Here is a 27,701-nt window from a genome sequence, read left to right as displayed (position 1 = left end):
TAAAGTATACATTAGGAACAAAGGAATGTATTAGCATTAAGTTGCACATTTACAAAATGAAGACAATAAGGCAATTCCCAGATTGTAGTTACAACAAGCAAAAAGAAGTTTCCAAAAAACACAAAGTAGACCGATATTACTCTTGCTTAAGACTCAATAATATCTGAGCAATGGAGAATAGACAGAATCAAGAAGAACCTTTGTTTCAGGCTTACCAGCTTGTCAATCATTCTATCTCAGGAGTATATCCTTCAAGATATATAAATTAAAATTCAGTAAGGGGAAATATCTCACCATGGAATTAATTACGGTACAATTTAAATTCTCTAGGTTCAAGAAAAAAATCTCTCCCAGTATGTAGCATTAGAATAATCCTGCTATCTTGGGGTGTTCAAAATCTGTAGTGATGGCAGGCCCATTCTTCAGGGCTTATTTTTATCCAGCACATTAAAAATGTCTTAATTTCTAGTTTTTCTGTGAACATTGAGTAGCCAATGTCCTGGTGCTACACTGAGAGTGGAATATATGTGGCCATCCTGCCCCCCAATCACACACACACACACGCATGCACACGCACACACAGACACACACACTTCTCCATTAGAAGGCATTCTTACTTCAGTTCTGCCATAGCTTCTTGTAGCCATTATCTCTTGCAATACAATTACTTTGGGCCTGTAAGGTAGAGTCCCCTAGTCTTGCAACTGGAAAATCATACTCAGCAAATTACTTAAAGGAAGCTGCTGTTGATGTATATGAAACCTGTCTCCCTAGAGATATAGTAGCTACCAATAACTCAGCTATCTGCACTTTAAGATATTATCTTCACTTAAGGATTTTAATGTTTTAGATTTTGAGAAGGATCTTGTTTGGGAGGCAAATAGCTCCTCCAGTGGTTTATTGAGGAAGCTCAGCTGGATTGCCGACAGTGAAACTTAACTTCTTGACCTCATGCAGCACTGGCACATCTGAATGACTCCTTGTTTTTTCTTTCTCTTTGTCTTCTTGCCTTAACATTTCTTTGGCTAACTTATTCTTCTAAACTTTGTCTTGTGTCATTCTTTATAGTGAGAGATTGGGAATAAGTGAGTTCCAATTTTGCTAAAAGCGTTAATTGTTCATGCAATGTGTTCTCTGTTACAATATCCATTATTTTAATCTAACTTATTAACAGAACCCTAATTTTGCTAAACTATTTACTTCTCAAACTCTCTCACAGAGAGACTCGCCATTAGCCCTAGTTCTATCTAAAAAGAGACCTATAATATGCATATATTATAGGGTAGAAATTCAAAGAGGTTTTAAAAGAAAATTTTCAAAGCCTGCTCTACTTGTTTTTTGCACACCTCTCTTTCACTTTTTCCTTCTTAGAAGTAGGACTCCTGTATATATAACAGTCATCTTGATCAATATTTTATGTGTATTAGTACACAAAGACCAACAATTGAATGAACATCCCATAAATACGATAGCCATTAAGTTAACATTCAAACAGGGCTGGATTCAATCTAACATTGACCATCTTCCTCACTTTCAAAAAATGTGTCTAATCGTCCCTATGCCTTATAACCCTGATTACATACATTTCCAGGGTGTATTCAACTAGGGCAGTAGTTACTTCCTCATATGCAATATTTGAAATCACAAATTAATACTTTAATAATTCTGTGTTAGTCTTCCAGTCTTTATCTCCCAAATCATCCCAAATGTTATGTAACCACTTGGAAGAGGTCCTCGGTCTTCAAGGGGTAATTTCCTGGAAGCTCTAATTTTGGGTTACTTAAGTGAATGGCTTTCAATTGTTTTTGTATTCAGGTTCCCTTCAAGGAGTCACTCTGGCTTATTCTTGGAGATTTTTGTCTCTTTCCCTCTAGAGACATTTCTTTAAAGTCCCAGTCACGATTCCTGATTTAATAACAACCAGATAAACTCGCCCCTTTCTCATACTCTCTTCAAGAGTAGCTAGACCTGCAAGCACTTCATTATACTTTTGTTTTTATCTAGCTTTGACTTCAAGGTCTCCTTTTTCCCTACATATCTTCCTTGCAAATCCTCCAAACTCTCAAACTTGTCTTCTGTAGACATAGTTCTCTTTCACGTTAATCAACCTATTTAGCTTCATCTTTCTTTCCTTCTTCCACTGCTCCTGTGCTGAAAGTAAGACAAAAGCATAACTTTCAAAGCTCACAACTTTTCTTTTAAATTCCTGATTTTTAGAGCCAGGGATTTTCAGGCATAGGCATTTTAGATTGCCTTCTTAGCCTTCGGATGAGCAATTTCTCTGAATCATCCAAATTATTCAGAGGGTGAATTAGGTTGGCCTATCTTACTTATCTATTGTAGTACATATCTTTGGTCTCTGCCAACTCATAAACAGACTATTCCTGGAGCAGATAGCCTCCCCTAATTCGATCAAATGTGAAAAGGAAACTCATGAGGTCCAAATAAAGTTGGTTCTTTATTGCACAAATGTGGGAAGCACAGTTGGGGGCTGGCAGACATTGACTGGTATTTTATTAAAAGTAGTGAAGAACTGAATAGAGTCTTAGGGTCAAGATGGACAGAACCAACCTCTTTAACCAAGTGTTAATGAGTATAAAGGAAGCATCTGCCTTGACTCGATATTGAAATTGACAGGGCCATGTGTCAGTTAAAGCTAGGATATATGAGATACACATTTTTAATTGATGAATATAGTAGTGGTACTTTTTATGAGGAAGTAAGAGTTCTAGAAGTAAAATATTAGGAAAGAAGGACATAGTGAATTGAAAAGTAAAGGGAGGCCAAGGTTAGATCGTCATGTAAAAAAGAGAACATGAGGGTATTTGTGACCCAATACAGGGCTTACCTTTAAGTAGTGACCAAGAGTGTCAGGGGTGTGAGGCTGATCAAGGGCATCGTGGGTCCCGATTACAGATAACCTCCTATATATTGTTACTAAGTTCAGTTTTTATTCTAGAGGCTATGCCAATTGCCTGAAGTAATTTACCATGGGGATACAGGTACTTTTTTTCTACATAATATGTTGCCAAAACTGCACAGAGGTTACTCTATGAATATTGGCTAGCATATACATCCAAGGAAGACTAATTTCAGATGAAAGAAGACTGTGGTCCTGTTGTCAAGTTTTGTAGGTAATTCATAATAATCTAGGTACTCAATGACAACAGGAACAGATATCCCAAAGCAACATAATATCTAGAATGCACATGTAAAATTTATGAGACTGACTGGCCTGGAATGTATAGTCAAGCTACATAGAAGTGCCACTTTGCATCAGCAGTAGAAAGACTACCTTTCTTTTGCATAAAATTATGTAAGTGGATTTCCCGTTTAAGTACTGGTAATGGGAAAATCTGAAAGACAACATATTAATTTCATTTTTAGATAGTTCAAGAAGTCTGCCTGGGTTGATATATCTTTTAATAGATAAAATATTCATATAAAGCTAGAAGACCAAGGAACTTAAAAAGCCAATACTACTGAAAAGCCGTTTCCCTTGCTGTAATCATTTCTTCATTTAAACTATTCTGCTTAATAATGGAACATAGTGGGAGCATAATGAGGCAAAAGCTATCAAAGCGATTGTTGCTATGAATGCTGAGATTGAATAATTGTTCACTTTTGAATGAGGTCTCACTATAACCATAGGCAAAGACTGAGTCAGGACAAACATTTACATTTTGAAACAGCCTGCTAGGAAGCAACATCCAGAGCTGCCTACAATTAGCTCTGCCCAGGATAGAGATTTTTAGATAATGCATGCGATAAAGTGCTGGGAAGTAGTGCCTCTTTTTTAAGACAAAATATTATGTATATATTTAAAACCCCTAAAATATGATAGAAAAAAAGCAAAATGGTCATAGCTAGTATCAGGAGGGGAAATAGAACCCTACTAGTTTGCTCTTCCCTTGACAGCCGGGAGGAAGGGGAGGTGTTTCAGGAAGTTGTGAAGGTTTCTAAGGCTCTGAAAAAAGAGACTTGGTAAGTATTATTCTAAATTGACAATTTGAATGACTCTAGGTACTTCAATTCACCATCACAATATAAAATTATTGATGGGATATGTTAAAGAAAAACATGCTTATGAAATCTAAGCATTAAAAATGACATAACTCCCATTCAAGTAACCATACATCACCAGAATCCTGTTTAACCCATTTCTGATAGATTCAAAATCCGGTGTTTTTTTTTTGGCAAATAACCATCCTCCTATGCAGTCTCTAGTTTAAGTTCTCATTATTACTCACCTGGAATAAGAGGATACAGCTCTGGTTCCTCTCCTAACATATATATATGAACTTACACTGAGAAATAGTAAAGTAGATATCTGACAATCTGGGACATCTAGGGGCTAGGCTGACATCAGATGACTGGCCTGCTACTATTCATTATGTATTGATGTTTCTGGAAGCTGGTCTGGTACTCACAGATAGGCCTTGATGTTCTGTTGAACACATACAACTTTATAGAACGTCTATATCAGACCAGGCTACTCTGTGACCATAATGGATAAAGACAGAATCAAGACCATCCTCCAATCACGTCTAAACAGAGAGGAAAATGTGAGCATTTTCCAAACCACAAAAAAGCCAAACAGCGCACATGCTGGCCAATATTTGTGACTTTTGCTTGTTTTGTAGCTTTAGCCTTGCTCTAATGTTCTCTCTTTCTAGATGATATTCATTAAGATACCCCTGCTTCCTGACAACATTCAATCCACAGAAAAGCCCAACTTTATCTCCAAAATCATCTAACCCATGGCCAAATTCTGTTAAGTCCTATCATTCCCTTACAGAAACACCCCACAGTTGCCTTGCTGCAATCGGAAATAAGCCAGAGCTCTGCCTCTGGTGGTCTTTAAGTGAGATCAGTGATAACATTCTCAGCTCATAAATTTTCACCAAGTCATCATTACCCATGACATAATACCCTATCTGGATATGTATCGTGGCTTCAAAGACCTTCCTGATTTCATCGTGAACTTTACATCAAACTTCATTTCTGTTACCATTTCTCATGTAGCATTTGTTAAGACCTGGTAGGTGCTAAATTCAGTCCTTACAATGATCTTGAAAGATGATGTAAAGCTATTTTTATTTTTGAACTCAAGAAACTGAGGCGCAGAAAAGTCCACTATCTCTTGCAGGTTCACACAGAGAATAAATTAAAGAAGCAAGATTTATATTCAAGTCTGTGTATAAGTCCTGTGGTTTTTCCTTTATATTATGCAAATAGCAGACTACTTGATAATACTCTCAAAACATGCCCCATACTTTCAACCTCCTGTGATTTTGCTGGTGGTATAGATGTGTTTTCATTTACTGTAATTTATTTTCCTTCAGAGCCTATCCAAAATGCTGACTTTTTCATTATATCTTCCCCACAGCATTCATTTGTTCATTTACTTAATCAACATTCCTTGAACTCTACTTATACTGAATTTCCATTAGAATGAAAGCTCCATGAAAGCAGTGCTTTCCAATAAAATTAATATGAAGATATGGGATGGGGTAGGCATGGGAGGAAGAAAGTGAAGCATGATTAAAAAGATCTCCAAAAATAGTTAAGTAATATTCCTACCTATGTATATTATAATCTATATGTAGTTTACACGTATTAACATTGTTCATTTTTGTTCACTTAGTACATTTCATCCCTCTCCCTTTCTACCCACCACTCCCAGAAATGTGTACTTATCATTCAGATTCTCCTTGCAAATAACACGTGCGTATTGGTATTTGCAGCTGAAGAATCTAGTAGCCTGCTGTCTCTCAATATACATGGCTGGACACCAGCTGTGTTCCCTGACTTAATCAGCCTCCAGTAGACACCATACATACTCTGCTTAGTGCTTTTTCTTAAAGTAATTTTTAATGAAACTTTTTATTGCATTAATAGTAGAGATAAACATGTCAAGAATCATGTACAGTGTACCAACTGTATAAGCTACATGAAGAGCATTCTGCTCAGTATTCTCTTTTTTTTACAAAGCTTTATTTTATTTTTAAATGTTACATAATAATTGTATGTATTTACCAGGTACAGTGGGATATTTCAATACATGTATACAATGTGTAATGATCAAATTAGGGTAATTAGCATATCACATCAAATATTTATCTTTTCATGGTGAGAACATTCAAATTTTCCTCTTTTAGCTATTTTGAAATATACAATATTTATTGTTACTATAGTCACCGTACAATGGAGCACTGGGATTTATTCCTCCTATTTAACTGTAACTTTGTACAGCTTGACCAACCTCTTCATAATCCCCCACCCTCTTCCCTTCCCAGAATCTGACAACCACTATTCTATCTCTGCTTCTATGAGATAAACTTTTTTTAGTTTCCACATATAAATGAGGAAATATCATATTTATCTTTCTGTGCCTTGCTTATTTCACTTAACATGGTGTTCTTTGACTCATCCATGTTGCACAAATGACAGAATTCTATTCTTTTGTGTGGCTGAATAGTATTCTGTTCTGTAAATATACCACATTTTCTTTATCAGTTCATCTGATGAAGGGCACTTAAGTTGTGTTCATGGTTTGGCTATTGTGAATAGTGCTGCAATAAACAAGGAAGTACAGATATCTCTTTGACATGTTGATTTCATTTCCTTTGCATATATACCCAATAATAGGGTTGCTGGATCATATGGTACTTATATTTTTAATTTTTAAAGGAAACTCTCTACTCTTTCTATTATGGTATAATAATTTGCATTCCCACCATTAGTGTATGAGAGTCCCTTTCCCTTTCTCCAGATCCTTGACAACATTTGTCTTTTTCTTTTGTCTTTTTTATGATAGCCATTCTAATAAGGGTAAAAAAAAAATCTCCTTGTGGTTTTGATTTGCATTTCCCTGGTGATTAGTGATGCTGAACATTTTTTCATGTACCTGTTGGCCATTTACATGTCTTCTCTGAGAAATGTCTATTCAGACCCATTGCCTGCTTGTTAATCAGATTATTTGTTATTTTGCTATTGAGTTCTTTGAGTTCCTTATATAGTCTGGATATTCACTCATAGTCAGATGCATAATTTGCAGCTATCTTCTCCCATTCTGTGGGTTGTCTCTTCACTATATGCCAATAGCAAACTATCTAAAAAAGAAATCAAGAAGGCAGTCCCATTTACAATAGCTACAAAAGACAAATGAATAAAATATCTAGGAATAAATTTAACCAACAAGGGGAAAATCTCTACAATGAAAACTATGAAACATTGATTAAAGAAATTACAGAGCACATAAATAAATGAAAAGTATCCCATGTTCATGGATTAGAATAATTGATATTGTCAAAATGTCCATACTACCTGATATGGTTTGGCTGTGTCCCCACCCAAATCACCATTTTGAATTCCCACGTGTTGTGGGAAGGACCCAGTGGGAAGTGATTGAATCATGGGGGCAGGCCTTTCCCATGCTGTTCTCCTGATAGTGAATGAGTCTCATGAGGTCTGATGGTTTTAAAAAAAAGGCATCCCCCTGCACAAGCTCTCTTTTTGCTTGCCACCATCCATGAAAGATGTGACCTGATCCTCTTTGTTTTCTGCCATGATTGTGAGGCTTCCCCAGCCATGTGGAACTGCAAGTCCAATTAAACCTATTTCTTTTGTAAATTACCCAGTTTTGAGTATGTCTTTATCAGCAGCATGAAAATGGACTAATACACTATTCAAAGTAATATACAGATTTGATGAATTTTCTATGAAAATACCAATGAAATAATTCACAGAAATAGAAAAAACAATCCTAAAATTCATATGCAAACACAAAAATCCCAAATAACCAAAGAAATCTTGTGCAAAAAGAATGAAGCTGGAGGCATTACACTATCAGGCTTAAAAATATACTACAGAGCTATAGTAACTAAAACAACATGGTACTAGCATAAAATAGACACATAAACAAATGAAACATAGTAGACAACCCAGAAATAAATCCATGTATTTACAGCCAACTAATTTTTGAAAAAGGTATGAAAAGCACACATCAGAGCAAGATCAGACTCTTCAATAAATGGTGCTTAATTCTTTATCCAGCTCCTTGGCCAGTACTCACCCAGCCTCTGCTACAGGATTCCTTCCACTCTTACAAGGTTCTGTGTGTTGTCCACTTATTTCCTAATGGGTAAACATCCCAAGAAGAACCCCACAATGCCTCAGGAATGCTAATTAAACCTCCACACTTCTCTCTGCTATGCTGCCACTTTGTGACCTAGATCTAGGTTGGTGTGACACAGCTTGGGGAAGATTATTGCATAGAGTTCTAAATAGGGGATGAGGGTCAAGTGCACCTCCTACCCTAAGTAGAAAACCCAGTTTCATAATGCAGATAAGTACAGGCTGCATTCCTCTGGTAACTGCTACCTACACATGCATATGAGGCAAGATTATTATTACATTCAGGGCATGTGACAACCCAGGAGACCAGTGACAACATGGGAGGAAAAAGACAACACAAATTAAGAGCACACATTTTCTCTACTGTGCTTAGTTCAAATAAACCACACTCCATACACTAAGCCATCTCAGGAAGGGTTGCAGAGAGGGATACCATCTGAGAGGCATTTTTATCCCAGATAGACTTCACCATTTAAAGGAATGGCTAATATTTGGGAGACACAGAAAGGTTTATGCTGGAGAGAAACAAAAGTTTTTTTCCCTGCATTTAAGAAGTGAGTATGGCTCTGGCAAAAAGCCACATTAAACATTAGAAAAATAAAACTTCAAGTTTCTGTGTACATTTTGTTCATTCTGTGTCTCAACATGTGGAGACAAACAAACCCTGCTGCCTGGTTGAACTTTTAATTCATGACCAATGACCTCGTGTGGGCCTTATTGCTCCTGGAGATCATGCTATATTATTTCAGAAGTCTGTTTACTCTTGAATTCTTCTAAATTAATATTAACACTTTCTCCTCTTTCCTGAAACCTCCCTTATTCTGATTCTCGGCTGATGATCTTGCTTCCTTCTATACTGCTAAACTAAAGCAATCAGAATAGAACTTCTGCAGACTTTCAACACAACATCCACTTATATAAGGCATGTTCACTTCAGGCATCTTTGTGTTTCTAAAGTCTAAAGTCATGTAAAGTCATCTCTCCACTTGTTCACTAATCCTATCCTGCTCATCTACTCAAGAACATCATTCCAGCCATTCTCTCCTTTCATTCCTACTTCATCATTTTTTTCTTGTGTATTGGATTATTCTCATCAGCATATAAAATATTACTTCTCTAAAAATAACCATCAGAAACTCCAAACACCTCTATGCACACAAACTAGAAAATCTAGAAGAAATGAATAAATGCCTGGACACATACACACTCTCAAGGCTGAACCAGGAAGCAATTTATTCCCTGACAGACCAATAATGAGCTCCAAAATTGTATCAGGTATAAATAGCCTACCAACCAAAAAGAAGCCCAGAAGTTAATAGATTCATAGCTGAACTCTACCAAATATACAAAGAAGAGCTGGTACCATTCCTACTAAAGCTATTTCAAAAAATTGAGGAGGAGGCACTACTCCTCAACTCATTCTATAAGACTAGCATCATCCTGATACCAAAACCTGGCAGGAACCCAAAAAGAAGGAAAACTTCAGGCCAATATCCTTGATGAACATCGATGCAAATATCCTTAACAACTTGCAAACCAAATGCAGCAGCACATCAAAAAGCTAATCCACCACGATCAAGTAGGCTTCATCTCTGGGACGCAAGGTTGGTTCAACATATGCAAATCAGTAATATGATTCATCACATAAACAGAACTAGAGACAAAAACCACATGATTATCTCAATAGATGCAGAAAAGCCTTTTCATAAAATTCAACAACACTTCATGTTACAAACTCTTAATAAACTAGGTTTTGAAATAACATACCTAAAAATAATAAGAGCCTATGCCAAACCCACAGCCAATATCATACTGAATGGGCAAATGCTGGAAGCATTCCCCTTGAAAACTAGAACAAGACAAGGATGCCCCTTCTCACGGCTCCTATTCAAATAGTATTGGAATCCTAACCAGAGCAATTAGGCAAGAGAAAAAAATAAAGGACATCCAAATAGGGAGAGAGGAAGTCAAACCATCTCTGTTTGCAGATGACATGATTCTATATCTAGAAAACCCCATAGTCTCAGCCCAAAAGCTCCTTCAGCTGAAAAACAACTTCAGCAAAGTTTCATGATATAAAATCAATGTACAAAAATCACTAGCATTTCTATACACCAACAACAGCCAAGTCAAGAGCCAAATCAGGAAGGCAATCCCATTCACAGTCACCACAAAAAGAATAAAATACCTAGGAATACAGCTAACCAGGGAGGTAAAAAAAATCTCTGCAATAAGAATTACAAAGCACTGCTCAAAGAAATCAGAGAAGACACAAACACATGGAAAAACATCCCATGCTCATAGATAGGAATACTATTAAATGGCAATACTGCCCAAAGAAATTTACAGATTCAATGCTTACTATTAAATACTATTAAAATGGCAATATTGCCCAAAGAAATTTACAGATTCAATGCTTATGATGGTTAATACTGAATGTCAACTTGATTGAATTGAAGGATGCAAAGTACTATGCCAGGGTGTGTCTGTGAGGGTTTTGTCAAAGAAGATTAACATTTCAGTCAGTGGACTGGGAAAGGCAGACCCACCCTTAATCTGGGCAGCACAATCTAATCAGCTGCCAGCGGGGTCAGAATAAAAAGCAGCAGAAGAAAGTGAAAAGACTAGACTGGCTTAGCCTCCCAGCCTACATCTTTCTCCCATGCTGGATGCTTCCTGCCCTGGAACATCAGACCCCAAATTCTTCAGCTTTGGGACTTGGACTGGCTTCCTTGCTCCTCAGCTTGCAGACACCCTATTGTGGGACCACGTAATCGTTGTGAGTTAATATTCCTTAATAAACTCCCCTTTATATATGCATGTATCCTATTAGTTCTGTCCTTCTAGAAAACCCTGACTAATACAATGCTACTTCTATGAAACTACCAATGACATTCTTTACAGAACTAGAAAAAAACTGTTTTAAAATTTATGTGGAACCAAAAAAGAGCCCAAATAGTCAAGACAATCCTAAGCAAAAAGACCAAAGCAGTAGGCATCACGTTACTCAACTGCAAACTATAACTTCAGGGCTACAGTAACCAAAACAGCATTGCACTGGCACAAAAAAAGATACATAGAGCAATGGAACAGAATCAGAAGGCCAGAAATAAGGCCATGTACCTACAATCATCTGATCTTTGACAAAACTGACAAAAACAAGCAATGGGGAAAACACTCCCTATTTAATACATGGTGCTGGAAGAACTGGCTAGCCATATGCAGAAGATTGAAACTGAACCCTTCCCTTATGCCACACACAAAAATCAACTCAAGATGGATTAAAGACTTAATTGTAAAACCCAAAACTGTAAAATCCCTAGAAGACAACCTAGGCAATACCATCCTGGACATAGGACCGAGCAACGATTTCATGAAAAAGACGCTAATTCAGTTTAAGGGCTTCTGCACAGCAAAAGAAACCATCAACATAGTAATCAGGCAACCTACAGAATGGGAGAAGATATTTGCAAACTGTGTACCTGGCAAAGGTCTAATATCCAGCATCTATAAGAAACTTAAACAAATTTACAAGAGAAAAACAAACAACCTCATTAAAAAGTGGGCAAAGGACATGAACAGACACTTTTCAAATGAAGACATACATGTGGCCAACAAGCATTAAAAAAAAAACAAAAGCTCAATATCACTGATCATTAGAGAAATGTAAATTGGAACCACAATGAGATGCCATCTCACACCAGTCAGAATGGCTATGATTAAAAAGTAAAAAAAAAAAAAAACAGATGCTAGTTAGATTTTAGAGAAAAGGGAACACTTATATACCATTGGTGGGAGTACAAATTAGTTCATCCATTATGGAAAGCAGTATGGTGATTCCTTAAAGAGCTGAAAGCAGAACTGCCATTTGACTCCACAATCCTGTTACTAGTTGTATACCCAGAAAAATTCTACCATTAAAACACATGCACACAAATGTTCATTTCAGCACTATTTGCATTAGCAAGGACATAGAATCAACCTAAATACCCATCAATAACAGATTGGATAAAGAAAGTGTGCTACATATACACCATGGAATACTATGCAGCCATAAAAAAAGTATGAGATCGGCTGGGCTTGGTGGCTCACACCTGTAATTCCAGCACTTTGGGAGGCTGAGGCAGGTGGATCACGAGACTATGAGTTTGAGACCAGCCTGGCCAAGATGGTGAAACCCCGTCTCTACCAAAAATCCCAAAAAAAAAAAAAAAAAAAAAAAATTAGCCTGGTGCAGTGGCGGGCGCCTATAACACCAGCTACTCGGGAGGCTGAGGCAGGAGAATTGCTTGAACCCAGGAGGGGGAGGTTGCAGTGAGCTGAGATTGCACCACTGCACTCTAGCCTGGGTGACAGAGTAAGACTCTGTCTCAAAACAAAACAAAACAAACAAACAAAGTATGAGATCATGTCCTTTGTGGGAACATGAATGAAGCTGGAGGCTATTATCCTTAGCATACTAACACAGGAACAGAAAAGGGTCCATGTTCTCATTTATAAGTTGAAGCTACATGATGAGAACTTGTGAATGCAAAGAAGGAAACAACAGACATTGGGGTCTACTTGAGGATGGAGGACGGAAGGAAGGAGAGGAGCAGAAAATATAACTATTGGGTACTGGGCTTAATAACTAGGTGATTAAATAATCTGTACAAAAGATTCCCATGCCACAAGTTTACCTGTGCATCAAACCTTCACACGTACCCCTGAACCTAAAAGATTTTTTTTTAATTATGTCTTCTACTAAAACAAAAAAAAATTTAAACACCTTCTTTTGATCCCACTTACCGCTCTTGGTAGTTCCCATTTTGAACCATTTTGTAAAAATTACCTTCAAAATTGTTGCCATTAGGCCGGGCGTGGTGGCTCACACCTGTAATCCCAGCACTTTGGGAGGCCGAGGTGGGAGGATCATGAGGTTGGGAGATCAAGACCATCCTGGCTAACACAGTGAAACCCCATCTCTACTAAAAATACAAAAAATTAGCCAGTGGTGGGCACCAATGTGTAATTTAAAATACAGATAAATAGCTTTCTATACCCCAGTGCTGGTTCTGAGATTCAGGCATGAATGTGCTCTGGGATGTCAAATTAAATTTGTATCATTAGCATATTGGAATGTCATTGTATGTGCCTTTGACACAATTTGTTAACAACAGCAAGAATGTTTCTACTAATCACACTGATTTGTAGACTGGCAGTCCCCTGATAACAAACTTTCTTTGGTTCTTGGCAGTGATAGTCTTTTATACAGAATTGTGAGCTATACAGCATAACTGTTTTATCCAATAAATTTATAGAAAACTTGAGGAAAAAATAATGGGGCAAAGAAAAAAAACCTTTAAATGTCTTTAAATAGCATCAACCAAAGTATAGATTATAGATGATGTTTCATCAGCTCCACTGTAATTATAACCTCGATTATCTGAGCGATGTTTCCCAGTCACAGCATATTTCAAGTTAAATTTTGTGGTTTTGAAATTTGCAGTTAAAAGGGAATGTTTTTGACAAATTGGCCCTTCAATTGACTTGGCATCTGTTTTAGGTCATTGGCAACTATGTCTGCCTGTCATGTTTTTTTCCCCCTTGCATTTTATGCTAGTTTCCACCAAATCCCTCCCTTTGTATATCTAAGCAAATGAAACCATGTGACATTTTTATTGTACAGAGAGAGAGGTTTTGTTCATAGCTTCCTGTGATCTGTTTCTTACTCTGAAAACAATACAATATGTAGGTTTTCTAGATTTTAGATATTTTCTTCTTAATATGCACATGGACTAAAGGATGGAGATGATGTGTTTAATAAAAGACTAACCTACTGCCCCACTTCTCTGCCCATTCCAAGGCCTTCTCAATAATCTTCTTTGTTAAACACTAATTTATTATCTCTACTTACCCCCTATAGGGAGGAGATTGAATTTAAATCTGCAGCTTTCACAGATTTATACAGAGGGGAAAGAACTACCCACACCACTAACCACATACACACATAAAGAGTGGTCCTATAGAGTGGTTTGAACTCTTTATATATTCTGGTTATTAATCCCTTGTTAGATGGATTGTTGGCAAATATTTCCTCCCATTCTGTAGGTCTTCACTGTGTTGATTGTTTCCTTTGCTGTGTAGAAGCTTTTCAACATGATATGATCAATTTGTCCATTTTTGCTTTGGTTGCCTGTGCTTGTGTCGTATTACTGAAGAAATTTTGCCCAGATCAACATCCTGGAGATTTTTCCCTGTGTATCCTTGCAATAGTTTCATAGTTTAAGGTCTTATATTTAAGTATTTAATTCATTTGAATTTGATTTTTGTATATGGCAAGCTGTAGGAGTCTATTAAAGACATGTTTAAAACCATTAAAATTTAAAGGGATTTGTTAGGAATCAGTAGATAAGTAGAAACCCTGTGTGTTTTTCTTTAACCTCACTGCTTGGCTTCTTCAATTCTGACTGGATGAAATGCTTCAGCTTGAATTCTACATTATTTGCTCATCTCTAATATGTTCTACCTAAAAAAACCAAAGCCAGTTCAGAACTTTAGATGTCTTTATAGAGATAACTTGACTCCCCAAAAGTTATATTCTGCCCTAACCTCTTAAATGAGTTCCAGATTTATGCAGTCAGTTGCTTTTGGATATTGCTATTTGAACACCTAAAATTTACCTTCAATCAAGTATTTCTCCTCATTCTTTTTTATTCAGTAAGTGATACTGCCATCAAACCAGTTGCAAATAATTGCTAAATCTGGAAATAATTCTTAATCCTGTCTTTTCCCTCAACACCATTTTTATCCAATGCATCAATAAATCCCCTCGACTCTGCCTTCCGATGTCTCCCAAGCCCTGCCATTTTCCTTCATCACTACTTCTACCAACCTCTATTGCTTTTATCTGCAGTGTTAGCATTGTCACATTTGCTCTGCCGCAGAATCTACAGTCTATTCTCCTCAAAGCAATGATTGTGCTCTTGAACAACAACAACAAAAAGTAAATATGTTATGCACTCCTGTTAAAAATATTCCCTTGTTTGCAATTGTAATTAATATAAAATTATATATGTAGAAGCCTTCCTAAATTACTAAATTTGAAGTAGCCATCTTTCAATTCCTCTCTTGTGCAATTCCCTTTTTCATTTTTCTCATAGCAATGACCACATTCTAAAATTACATGCTTTATTTATTATCTTCTTATTTATTGCTGTCTTCCTATTTCCATGGACCTTGTTTTTCCTGTTCTCTGCTATATTCCAGTACACAGAACAATGGCATTTCATATAGGCTTAATAAATTTTGATGTATAGATGAATTAATAAGTTTACATTTTTCAAAAGATAAATTGACCCTGATGTGTCAGAGAATGATTTAGGGTTTTAGATATTAAAAAGAGTTACTACATGTCCAGTTTTACCTTTGTATTTCATAAGTGGTAGTATGATAGACCAAAAATGCCAGATCTGTATTTACACAATTTGGTAGTGGCAATCATTAGATTTTAAATCACTCTAAATAGTAGTCTAAATAGTACTCCAGACAATATTATTTTTATTGTTTTTACATTTCTGACATTCAAGCTTGCATTTATGTGTCTCTGTGTGAATGTGTGGATGAGTACATTGATTCAGTTTGACTTTGCAACTGGGCTTTTAATATTAGAACCACAGTACTACAAATTTGTCTTGTCACTAGCCTGGTTAAGTGTCATAAACTACTGGCTGAATAAAATATACTGTCTCCTTTTTGGAGTAACTATGCAGATTCATGTTATAACAATCATCTATGACAGGCTGATTTTCTTAGTCTCCTTTCATAATTTTATACATTTTTATAATATGTTGAATGGTTCTGTCACTTCATTTCTTTGGGAGATTATAGTCACTGCAGTGCTTAAGACTCGAAGGACTAATGACTAATGGAATCATAGAATCTTTCCCCAGTGAAAATAGAATTGAGCTCTAAAATGTCACTAGTACATAAAAAACACACCATCCTAGACTGACCAGCAGGGTTCTAGGCTCAAATTTAGCTGTTGAGTATAGAAAGAAGTCATTATTGGCATATTTAAGTGATTTAAGAAGGACGATCTGTGATTATAAAATAACCAGTTATCTGTAGATTCAGAAAATGTCAGAGCTTTCTGAAAATTAAAGAGGGAATTTAAAAACCACTTAAGCTTAGTAATTTTTGGCACAAATAATTGATAGCTTTAGGTTGAAAATTCTGGCAAAAGCAAGTAACAAAAAAGGATTTTCCTAGAAAGCAGATAAACACTTGAATGAAAACAATAATAAAAAACTCAAAGCAACAGTCTTAAGAACAGTTAATTATATATGTATATATATAATATATTTGTGATTATATAGATATGCTGTTGAACTTTCAAGTGACTAATTGTATATTTCAACAGGTAATTTTACATTATGTTAAATATTTTTTGAAATAAGTTCATCATTTCTACCATTTTAATAATCCAATGAAATGTATAACTGTCTTTTCCTCATAGTGACAAGGAGAGTAATTTATGGCAGGAGCTTCCTTGTTCTTGGGACTAAATCAAACTTGAAGATCCAAAGAAATTATTGATATTGCCCAGAGCAGAGAGTTAATAAGACTTTCTTAACAATAAGTCCGAAACCATTCTGAACAAAATACATGTGAAATGTCAATGAGATTAATTTTGCCAGGAGTTTTCTTTCCTCTTCTTTGACCAACCAATAAGAATGTTTCTACATGAGATAATGCTTTTCACTCATGCTTCATTGGATGAATGAATAACCATCCTGCACCTGACTGCAGAGTCCTGGTATGGAATTCTCTCAACCAGCTGCTAGAGTGTTCTCCCTGTAGCCAATGCAGTCAATTGAATTATACTTTTTAAATACTCAATTATATTTTCCACCTTGCCTCTTCACTCTTAAATACTTCAACACCAAAGACAAATGCCTTTTCTTGTTTAGCAGGAGTATTGCACAATGAAATGTTTACTGACATTTCCATGTCTCCTTGTCTTTTGCACTACAGATTAGAGCACTAAGGGATCCCTGGGTCTGTCACTTAAAATATTTTAGTGTACCTTTATTTAATTTATAGTTTATTTTGGTAGGTTTTCTTGTATTGTCTCTTGAAGTAATTTATAGGTTTACTTTTTTTTAACATGAGGCTTTAATTCAAAGAGACCAACTCCTCATATGCTTGTTAACGAAAGTCACAGCAAACTTATAAATCCAGCTACCCTAATCATTGTATTTTTCACAAAAACATAATATATGCCTATAGTTTGTTAAAATTATGTGCTACACTCAATTTATAATTCAAGGAGAAAAACTGGCTTTGGATTCATAAATATTAAATGAGATTGTGTATTCATTACACTTCCTAGTTACATTACAAGAAAAAACATTGATCTGGACATCAACAGGTCATGGGAATAAAAACAAAGTTGCACATTTTGCAGCCAATTACAGGTCCTTTTTTTAAATTGAAGATCTTACATAGATAGTTTTTAATAGATACTGTTTTTTGGAAGCGTTTTCAATATTATTCTCCATGATTGAAAAAACAATCTCACTTAAAAAGCTACAAAATTAATAAATATATTTTCTTCTTTTTTCATTTTCAGTATTTTTATTTATTTTTTTGAGATGGAGTCTCACTCTGTCACACAGGCTGGAGTGCATTGGCGCTATCTTTTTTTTTATTATACTTTAAGTTTTAGGGTACATGTGCACAATGTGCAGGTTTGTTACATATGTATACATGTGCCATGTTGGTGTGCTGCACCCATTAACTCGTCATTTAGCATTAGGTATCTCTCCTAATGCTATCCCTCCCCCCTCCCCCCCACCCCACAACAGGCCTCAGTGTGTGATGTTCCCCTTCCTGTGTCCATGTGTTCTCATTGTTCAGTTCCCACCTACGAGTGAGAACATGCGGTGTTTGGTTTTTTGTCCTTGCGATAGTTTGCTGAGAATGATGGTTTCCAGCTTCATCCATGTCCCTACAAAGGACATGAACTCATCCTCTTTTATGGCTGCATAGTATTCCATGGTGTATATGTGCCACATTTTCTTAATCCAGTCTATCATTGTTGGACATTTGGGTTGGTTCCAAGTCTTTGCTATTGTGAGTAGTGCCGCAATAAACATACGTGTGCATGTGTCTTTATAGCAGCATGATTTATAATCCTTTGGATATATACCCAGTAATGGGATAGCTGGGTCAAATGGAATTTCTAGTTCTAGATCCCCAAGGAATCACCACACTGACTTCCACATGGTTGAACTAGTTTACAGTCCCACCAACAGGGTAAAAGTGTTCCTGTTTCTCCACATCCTCTCCAGCACCTGTTGTTTCCTGACTTTTTAATGATCGCCATTCTAACTGGTGTGAGGTGGTATCTCATTGTGGTTTTGATATGCATTTCTCTGACGGCCAGTGATGATGAGCATTTTTTCATGTGTTTTTTGGCTGCATAAATGTCTTCTTTTGAGAAGTGTCTGTTCATATTCTTCACCCACTTTTTGATGGGGTTGTTTGTTTTTTTCTTGTAAATTTGTTTGAGTTCATTGTAGATTCTGGATATTAGCCCTTTGTCAGATAAGTAGGTTGCAAAAATTTTCTCCCATTCTGTACATTGCCTGATCACTCTGATGGTAGTTTCTTTTGCTGTGCAGAAGCTCTTTAGTTTAATTAGATCCCATTTGTCAAATTTGGCTTTTGTTGCCATTGCTTTTGGTCTTTTAGATACGAAGTCCTTGCCCGTGCCTATGTCCTGAATGGTATTGCCTAGGTTTTCTTCTAGGGTTTTTATGGTATTAGGTCTAACATGTAAGTCTTTAATCCATCTTGAATTAAGTTTTGTATAAGGTGTAAGGAAGGGATCCAGTTTCAGCTTTCTACATATGGCTAGCCAGTTTTCCTAGCACCATTTATTAAATAGGGAATCCTTTCCCCATTGCTTGTTTTTGTCAGGTTTGTCAAAGATCAGATAGTTGTAGATATGTGGCATTATTTCTGAGGGCTTTGTTCTGTTCCATTGGTCTATATCTTTATTTTGGTACCACTACCATGCTGTTTTGGTTACTGTAGCCTTGTAGTATAGTTTGAAGTCAGGTAGCGTGATGCCTCCAGCTTTGTTCTTTTGGCTTAGGATTGACTCGGCGATGAGGCTCCTTTTTGGTTCCATATGAACTTTAAAGTAGTTTTTTCCAATTCTGTGAAGAAAGTCATTGGTAGCTTGATGGGGATGGCATTGAATCTATAAATTACCTTGGGCAGGATGGCCATTTTCACGATATTGATTCTTCCTACCCATGAGCATGGAATGTTCTTCCATTTGTTTGTATCATCTTTTATTTCATTGAGCAGTGGTTTGTAGTTCTCCTTGAAGAGGTCCTTCACATCCCTTGTAAGTTGGATTCCTAGGTATTTTATTCTCTTTGATGCAATTGTGAATGGAAGTTCACTCATGATTTGGCTCTCTGTTAGTCTGTTATTGGTGTATAAGAATGCTTGTGATTTTGGTACATTCATTTTGTATCCTGAGACTTTGCTGAAGTTGCTTATCAGCTTAAGGAGATTTTGGGCTGAGACAATGGTGTTTTCTGGATATACAATCATGTCATCTGCAAACAGGGACAATTTGACTTCCTCTTTTCCTAATTGAATACCCTTTATTTCCTTCTCCTGCCTGATTGCCCTGGCCAGAACTTCCAACACTATGTTGAATAGGAGTGGTGAGAGAGGGCATCCCTGTCTTGTGCCAGTTTTCAAAGGGAATGCTTCCAGTTTTTGTCCATTCAGTATGATATTGGCTGTGGGTTTGTCATAGATAGCTCTTATTATTTTGAGATACGTCCCATCAATACCTAATTTATTGCGAGTTTTTAGCGTGAAGGGTTGTTGGATTTTGTCAAAGGCGTTTTGTGCATCTATTGAGATAATCATGTGGTTTTTGTCTTTGGTTCTGTTTATATGCTGGATTACATTTATTGATTTGTGTATGTTGAACCAGCCTTGCATCCCAGAGATGAAGCCCACTTGATGATGGTGGATAAGCTTTTTGATTTGCTGCTGGATTCGGTTTGCCAGTATTTTATTGAGGATTTTTGCATCAATGTTCATCAAGAATATTGGTCTAAAATTCTCTTTTTTTGTTGTGTCTCTGCCAGGCTTTGGTATCAGGGTGATGCTGTCCTCATAAAATGAGTTAGGGAGGATTCCCTCTTTTTCTATTGATTGGAATAGTTTCAGAAGGAATGGTACCAGCAACTCCTTGTACCTCTGGTAGAATTCGGCTGTGAATCCATCTGGTCCTGGACTTTTTTTGGTTGGTAAGCTATCAATTATTGCCTCAATTTCAGAGCCTGTTATTGGTCTATTCAGAGATTCAACTTCTTCCTGGTTTAGTCTTGGGAGGGTGTATGTGTCGAGGAATTTATCCATTTCTTCTAGATTTTGTAGTTTATTTGCATAGAGGTGTTTATAGTATTCTCTGATGGTAGTTTGTATTTCTGTGGGATCGGTGGTGATATCCCCTTTGTCATTTTTTATTGCGTCTATTTGATTCTTCTCTCTTTTCTTCTTTATTAGTCTTGCTAGCGGTCTATCAATTTTGTTGATCTTTTCAAAAAACCAGCTCCTGGATTCATTGATTTTTTGAAGGGTTTTTTGTGTCTCTGTTTCCTTGAGTTCTGCTCTGATCTTAGTTATTTCTTGCCTTCTGCTAGCTTTTGAATGTGTTTGCTCTTGCTTCTCTAGTTCTTTTAATTGTGATGTTAGGGTGTCAATTTTAGATCTTTCCTGCTTTCTCTTGTGGGCATTTAGTGCTATAAATTTCCCTCTACACACTGCTTTGAATGTGTCCCAGAGATTCCAGTATGTTGTGTCTTTGTTCTTGTTGGTTTCAAAGAACATCTTTGTTTCTACCTTCATTTTGTTATGTACCCAATAGTCACTCAGGAGCAGGTTGTTTAGTTTCCATGTAGTTGAGCGGTTTTGAGTGAGTTTCTTAATTCTGAGTTCTATTTTGATTGCACTGTGGTCTGAGAGACAATTTGTTATAATTTCTGTTCTTTTACATTTGCTGAGGAGTGCTTTACTCCCAACTATGTGGTCAGTTTTGGAATAGGTGTGGCGTGGTGCTGAAAGGAATGTATATTCTGTTGATTTGGGGTGGAGAGTTCTGTAGATGTCTATTAGGTCCGCTTGGTGCAGAGCTGAGTTCAGTTCCTGGATATCCTTGTTAACTTTCTGTCTCATTGATCTGTCTAATGTTGACAGTGGGGTGTTAAAGTCTCCCATTATTATTGTGTGGGAGTCTAGGTCTCCTTGTAGGTCTCCAAGGACTTGCTTTATGAATCTGGGTGTTCCTGTATTGGATGCATATATATTTAGGATAGTTAGCTCTTCCTTTTGAATTGATCCCTTTACCATTATGTAATGGCCTTCTTTGTCTCTTTTGATCTTTGTTTATTAAAAGTCTGTTTTATCAGAGACTAGGATTGCAATCCCTGCCTTTTTTTGTTTTCCATTTGCTTGGTAGATCTTCCTTCATCCCTTTATTTTGAGCCTATGTGTGTCTCTGCACATGAGATGGGTTTCCCGAATACCGCACACTGATGGGTCTTGACTCTTTATCCAATTTGCCAGTCTGTGTCTTTTAATTGGAACATTTAACCCATTTACATTTAAGGTTAATATTGTTATGTGTGAATTTGATCCTGTCATTATTATGTTAGCTGGTTATTTTCTCATTAGTTGATGCAGTTTCTTCCTAGCCTTGATGGTCTTTACAATTTGGCATGTTTTTGCAGTGGCTGGTACCGGTTTTTCCTTTCCATGTTTAGTGCTTCCTTCAGGAGCTCTTGTAAGGCAGGCCTGGTGGTGACAAAATCAGTATTTGCTTGTCTGTAAATAATTTTATTTCTCCTTCACTTATGAAGCTTAGTTTGGCTGGATATGAAATTCTGGGTTGCAAATTCTTTTCTTTAAGAATGTTGTTACTGTGTCTGTGTAGAAAGAAGTGGACATAGGAGACTCCATTTTTTTCTGTACTAAGAAAAATTATTCTGCCTTGGGATGCTGTTAATCTATAAGCTTACCCCCAACCCCGTGCTCTCTGAAACATGTGCTGTGTCAACTCAGGGTTAAATGGATTAAGGGCAGTGCAAGTTGTGCTTTGTTAAACAGATGCTTGAAGGCAGCATGCTTGTTAAGAGTCATCACCACTCCCTAATCTCAAGTACCCAGGGACACAAACACTGTGGAAGGCCGCAGGGACCTCTGCCTAGGAAAACCAGAGACCTTTGTTCACGTGTTTATCTGCTGACCTTCTCTCCACTATTATCCTATGACCCTGCCACATCCCCCTCTCTGAGAAACACCCAATAATGATCAATAAGTACTAAAAAAAATAAAATAAATTAAAAAATTAAAAATTAAAAAAAATTAAAAAAAAGAATGTTGAATATTGGCCCCCACTCTCTTCTGGCTTGCAGAGTTTCTGCTGAGAGATCCGCTGTTAGTCTGATGGGCTTCCCTTTGTGGGTAACCCGACCTTTCTCTCTGGCTGCCCTTAACATTTTTTCCTTCATTTCAACTTTGGTGAATCTGACAATTATGTGTCTTGGAGTTGCTCTTCTCGAGGAGTATCTTTGTGGCATTCTCTGTATTTCCTGAATCTGAATGTTGGCCTACCTTGCTAGATTGGGGAAGTTCTCCTGGATAATATCCTGCAGAGTGTTTTCCAACTTGGTTCCATTCTCCTCATCGCTTTCAGGTACACCAATCAGACGTAGATTTGGTCTTTTCACATAGTCCCATATTTCTTGGAGGCTTTGTTCGTTTCTTTTTATTATTTTTTCTCTAAACTTCTCTTCAACGCCTCATTTCATTCATTTCATCTTCCATTGATGATACCCTTTCTTCCAGTTGATCGCATCGGCTATTGAGGCTTGTGCATTCATCACGTAGTTGTTGTGCCTTGGTTTTCAGCTGCTTCAGGTCCTTTAAGGACTTCTCTGCATTGGTTATTCTAGTTATCCATTCGTCTAATTTTTTTTTCAGGGTTTTTAACTTCTTTGCCATTGGTTCGAACTTCCTCCTTTAGCTTGAAGTAGTTTGTTCTTGTGAAGTCTTCTTTTCTCAACTCATCAAAGTCATTCTCCGTCCAGCTTTGTTCCATTGCTGGTGAGGAGCTGCATTCGTTTGGAGGAGGAAAGGTGCTCTGATTTTTAGAGTTTCTGATTTTTCTGCTCTGTTTTTTCCCCATCTTTGTGGTTTTATCTACCTTTGGTCTTTGATGATGATGACATACAGATGGGTTTTTGGTGTGGATGTCCTTTCTGTTTGTTAGTTTTCCTTCTAACAGTCAGGAAGGACCCTCAGCTGCAGGTTTGTTGGAGTTTGCTGGAGGTCCACTCCAGACCCTGTTTGCCTGGGTGTCAGCAGCGGTGGCTGCAGAACAGCGGATATTGGTGAACCGCAAATGCTGCTGCCTGATCGTTCCTCTGGAAGTTTTGTCTCAGAGGAGTACCCGGCCGTGTGAAGTGTCAGTCTGCCCCTACTGGGGGATGTCTCCCAGTTGGGCTACTCGGGGGTCAGGGACCCACTTGAGGAGGCAGTCTTCCCATTCTCAGATCTCAAGCTGCGAGCTGGGAGAACCACTACTCTCTTCAAAGCTGTCAGACAGGGACATTTAAGTCTGCAGAGGTTACTGCTGCCTTTTGTTTGTCTGTGCCCTGCCCCCAGAGGTGGAGCCTACAGAGGCAGACAGGCCTCCTTGAGCTGTGGTGGGCTCCACCCAGTTCGAGCTTCCTAGCCGCTTTTTTTTACCTACTCAAGTCTCGGCAATGGTGGGCGCACATCCCCCAGCCTCACTGCCGCCTTGCAGTTTGATCTCAGACTGCTGTGCTAGCAATGAGCGAGGCTCCATGGGCATAGGACCCTCCAAGCAAGGTGCGGGATATAATCTCCTGGTGTGCCATTTGTTAAGCCTGTTGGAAAAGTGCAGTATTAGGGTGGGAGTGACCCGATTTTCCAGGTGCTGTCTGTCACCCCTTTCTTTGACTAGGAAAGGGAATTCCCTGACCCCTTGCGCTTCCCAGGTGAGGCGATGCCTCGCCCTGCTTTGGCTCACACAGTACGCTGCACGCACTGTCCGGCACTCCCCAGTGAGATGAACCCGGTACCTCAGTTGGAAATGCAGAAATCACCCATATTCTGCGTCACTCACACTGGGAGCTGTAGACTGGAGCTGCTCATATTCAGCCATCTTGGCTCCACCAATAAATATGTTTTCTTACAAATTACGAAGAGACAGAATAGAAAGTGAGAAACAGAATTTAAGAATTTTTTTTAAAAACTTGAAAATTAACATAATTATATTTTTCATGTGTATTAGTTTGTTCTCAAGCTGCTAATAAAGACATGTTCAATACTGGGTAATTTATAAAGAAAAAGAGGTTTAATGGACTCACACTTCCACATGGCTGGAGAGACCTCACAATCATGGCAGAAGGCTAAGGAAGAGCAAAGGCATGTCTTACATGGCAGCAGGCAAGAGAGCATGTGCAGGGGAACTTCTCTTTATAAAACCATCAGATCTCATGAGACTTATTCACTATCATGAAAACAGCACGGGAAAAACTCACCCTCATGATTCAATGACCTACCACTACATCCCTCCCACAAGACATGGGGATTATGGGAGTTACAATTCAAGATGAGATTTGGATGGGGACACAGCCAAACCATATCACTATGTATTATATCATAAAAAAGGAAAGTATCATTTAGTTTCATATATACTTTTTATATTTCAGTAGTCCAGAGTCTAACAGATTAGAAAGCTACTCTATAGTTAAGAAATATGCATTTTGAGTGGCGTATTAAGGTATTTCAGCATATAAGTATTGTATATAACCTCTAAAAGCTTGAAAACATCACATTATTTTCCAGAACACCTTGTGAAAATTCTGGTAATAATTAATTTTCTTTTTAGGATATGGTTTGACATGCGTGAATTTTAGCTTAATCTTGAAGATATTACAAAATATTCTTAGAATGCAAATTCTATAATAGTTCAAATTATCAAACAATAATATTGCTGAATATGTTTTTACCAGAATTAAAAATTAAATATCTTAAAAGTTTGCTAACACAACTTAGCAAAGTTATTTTAAGACATATTCAATGGTAAATTACTTATGAACCAAACTAAAATTAAGTCCCAGATTGAAAATGATTTTGTTCTATCATCCAAATGAACATGTCGCTTATCCTCTGATTCTTAGTCTGAAAATTCAATTTCTTGCTTTCCAATGTCTTCTGAATAAATGATTTCGGTTACACCAATGTTGCTTTTACAGTATTTATTCTTTCACATCCTTGCAAGGTCATCAAAAACAAGAAAACTCTGAGAAATTGTCATAGCCAAGAAAAGCCTTAGGAATAAGAAAAATAAATGCAGTGCGATATCCTGGATGGGATACTGGAATAGAAAAGGGGATAGGTAAAAATGATGAAAAGCGGAAGAATAATAGTGTTTTGTAGGTTTCTCCATTGTAAAACCACTCTTTTCTCTCCCATTTCATAGTGTCTCCTTGGAAGAAAATCACTATGTGAAGCTAACACTTTAATGAATGAGGAGTTATGTTCTGCTTCCTTGAATAGCTACATAAATTATTTGGAATTATTCTCCAAGGGAAACACGTCTGTTCTCTCCGAAATTATTCAGTCATCTATTTGTATCAGTATGGACTCATGGATATATATTTTTGTTATATTCTGACACTACTTCATTTTGTTACTCAAATAGTTCCAGCTTTGGCTATTGGGAACCCCTTCAGAATTTCGTTTGTTTGGTTAGTTGGTAGTTGGCTCTGTATTATTGTTGTTGTTATTTTGTTTTTCCCCATTTCCTTATTTTCTGGCATTCTGCAGGCTCTTCTGGAATTTTTCATGCCTAATTCCTGGAATCAGCCATTTCTCCAAAGAACTCTGTTTTCTTTCTGTGGAGAATGGTATTAGAAACCAACATCTGGGAGTTAGGTGTGTTTATTGCAACTGGGGTGTAGTTTTCTAAGATAAGGCTGTTTTTTAAAACAGTATAGTACTTCTCCATATTTGTTTCTTAATTATTCAATTTGAGTTTTCAGTAAAAATTCTAACATTCTTACATTTTTTTCAAACCAATTTAAAAAGGCTAATTTAGAAGAAGTTTGCAAATAACACCCAAACATTGTCAAGTAATACAAACATTGCCATTATTTTATGATCAGACTTCCCTTCTATCCAAAATATCAGTTTTATCAAGCTTGATGGTTAAATATCTAATCAAATCAAGAATAAAAACGTTTCACTCTAATTGCCGTTCAAAGTAATGTATCATAACTCTGAAAATTTATTTCTAAAAATAGTTTAGAAAAGAAAAGATTTTTAAAAGATTTTAATTTTACCTGATTCTTAGTTGATTAGTTTGAAGGAGGCCACCATGTACATGTTTAGAAAATTGTCTGATGTCAACAAATAGGTTGGAGTTAGGTCATGCTTCCAAAAAGTGTTCAGAAATTTCCTTTCCTTACCCAGACTGATGAAACCAGTCTAGGGTGAGGGATACTGCATAACTGTAGGCTGCTCAAAGCAAGATCAGTGGAGCAGTCCAGCTGGAAAATACTGAGGATTGTCAATCATGTCTGGGGAAGGTAACAGTCTGGTGAAGTGGTGGATAGGATGTTGAAACTGCAGATCATTAAGGGGTGCTGACCAGCTCACCTTTCAAGTGTTATGAAGCCGACTTTGGAGTTGAACGTGGTACCCTATGATCAAGTGGTCCAAATAGGAAGAGTTTGTAATTCAGCATGAGAGAGATTTGATATAGCTTGGAAACTAGGGCAGGAAAACAAAGGAACAGTCAAGATTTTACGTCATATACCCAAGGGATTTGTGGAACGCCTTGAGAAAATGCCTAGCCAAGGATACAGACAGCACTCAATATTTCTCCCTAAGAGTTTAATTTGCAAACATAACATCCTTTAAAAGGCTAACATTTACACTTCATGGTCTTCTGAGTGATGGCTTTACAGTTGGGATGAAGATGGTGACATGTATACCTACTTTTTATGGGCCTATGCTATAGAGCTAAGAAGCCTTCCAGAACCTTCAGAAGTGTGCTGCTTTCATCTCCATCTTCTCACAGCCTGTGGTCAAAAGCAAATTGCAACCCCTATGTCTGACCTTACATAGGATTATTTACTCCTTGAGTGAAGGAATGTTTTCTTGTTCATCTTTGTGCCTCACATATCGATCCCTACACCTGGTCTAACAGGAGCTATTCACCAAGTATTGAACTAAATGGAATACGTTGTATGCCTATCCTTGAAATTTATTACTATATACATTTTTCTCACTGAATAATTCTGTGTCATTATGTAAAATAGACATGTAGCAAGGGTCAATTGGAGAGACTACCTTTCAAGGGCTATGATGTTAGTGGATAAAATGTTCCTTCCAACTATGATTTTATAAAATACAAAAAAAAAGTGCTAAACATATAGTAAAGTTTACCC

At 37.1% G+C, this 27,701-nt stretch overlaps 1 long non-coding RNA gene across 1 annotated transcript in view; it reads left to right on the top strand.

The window, feature by feature from the left end:
* Nucleotides 1-26,500, top strand: part of LOC105374974 (uncharacterized) — a 120,749-nt gene extending 94,249 nt beyond the window's left edge. The window contains exon 3 of the long non-coding RNA XR_926583.3: nucleotides 25,730-26,500. This is a non-coding gene — a long non-coding RNA (uncharacterized LOC105374974). The remainder of the gene's footprint in view (nucleotides 1-25,729) is intronic.
* The last annotated feature ends 1,201 nt before the right edge of the window (nucleotides 26,501-27,701 follow it).

This window comes from Homo sapiens, chromosome 6 (assembly GCF_000001405.40).
Source record: "Homo sapiens chromosome 6, GRCh38.p14 Primary Assembly".
Lineage (NCBI taxonomy): Eukaryota > Metazoa > Chordata > Mammalia > Primates > Hominidae > Homo > Homo sapiens.
Note: the sequence above shows the minus strand (reverse complement) of the source record. Positions and strands in the feature narration are given on the sequence as shown.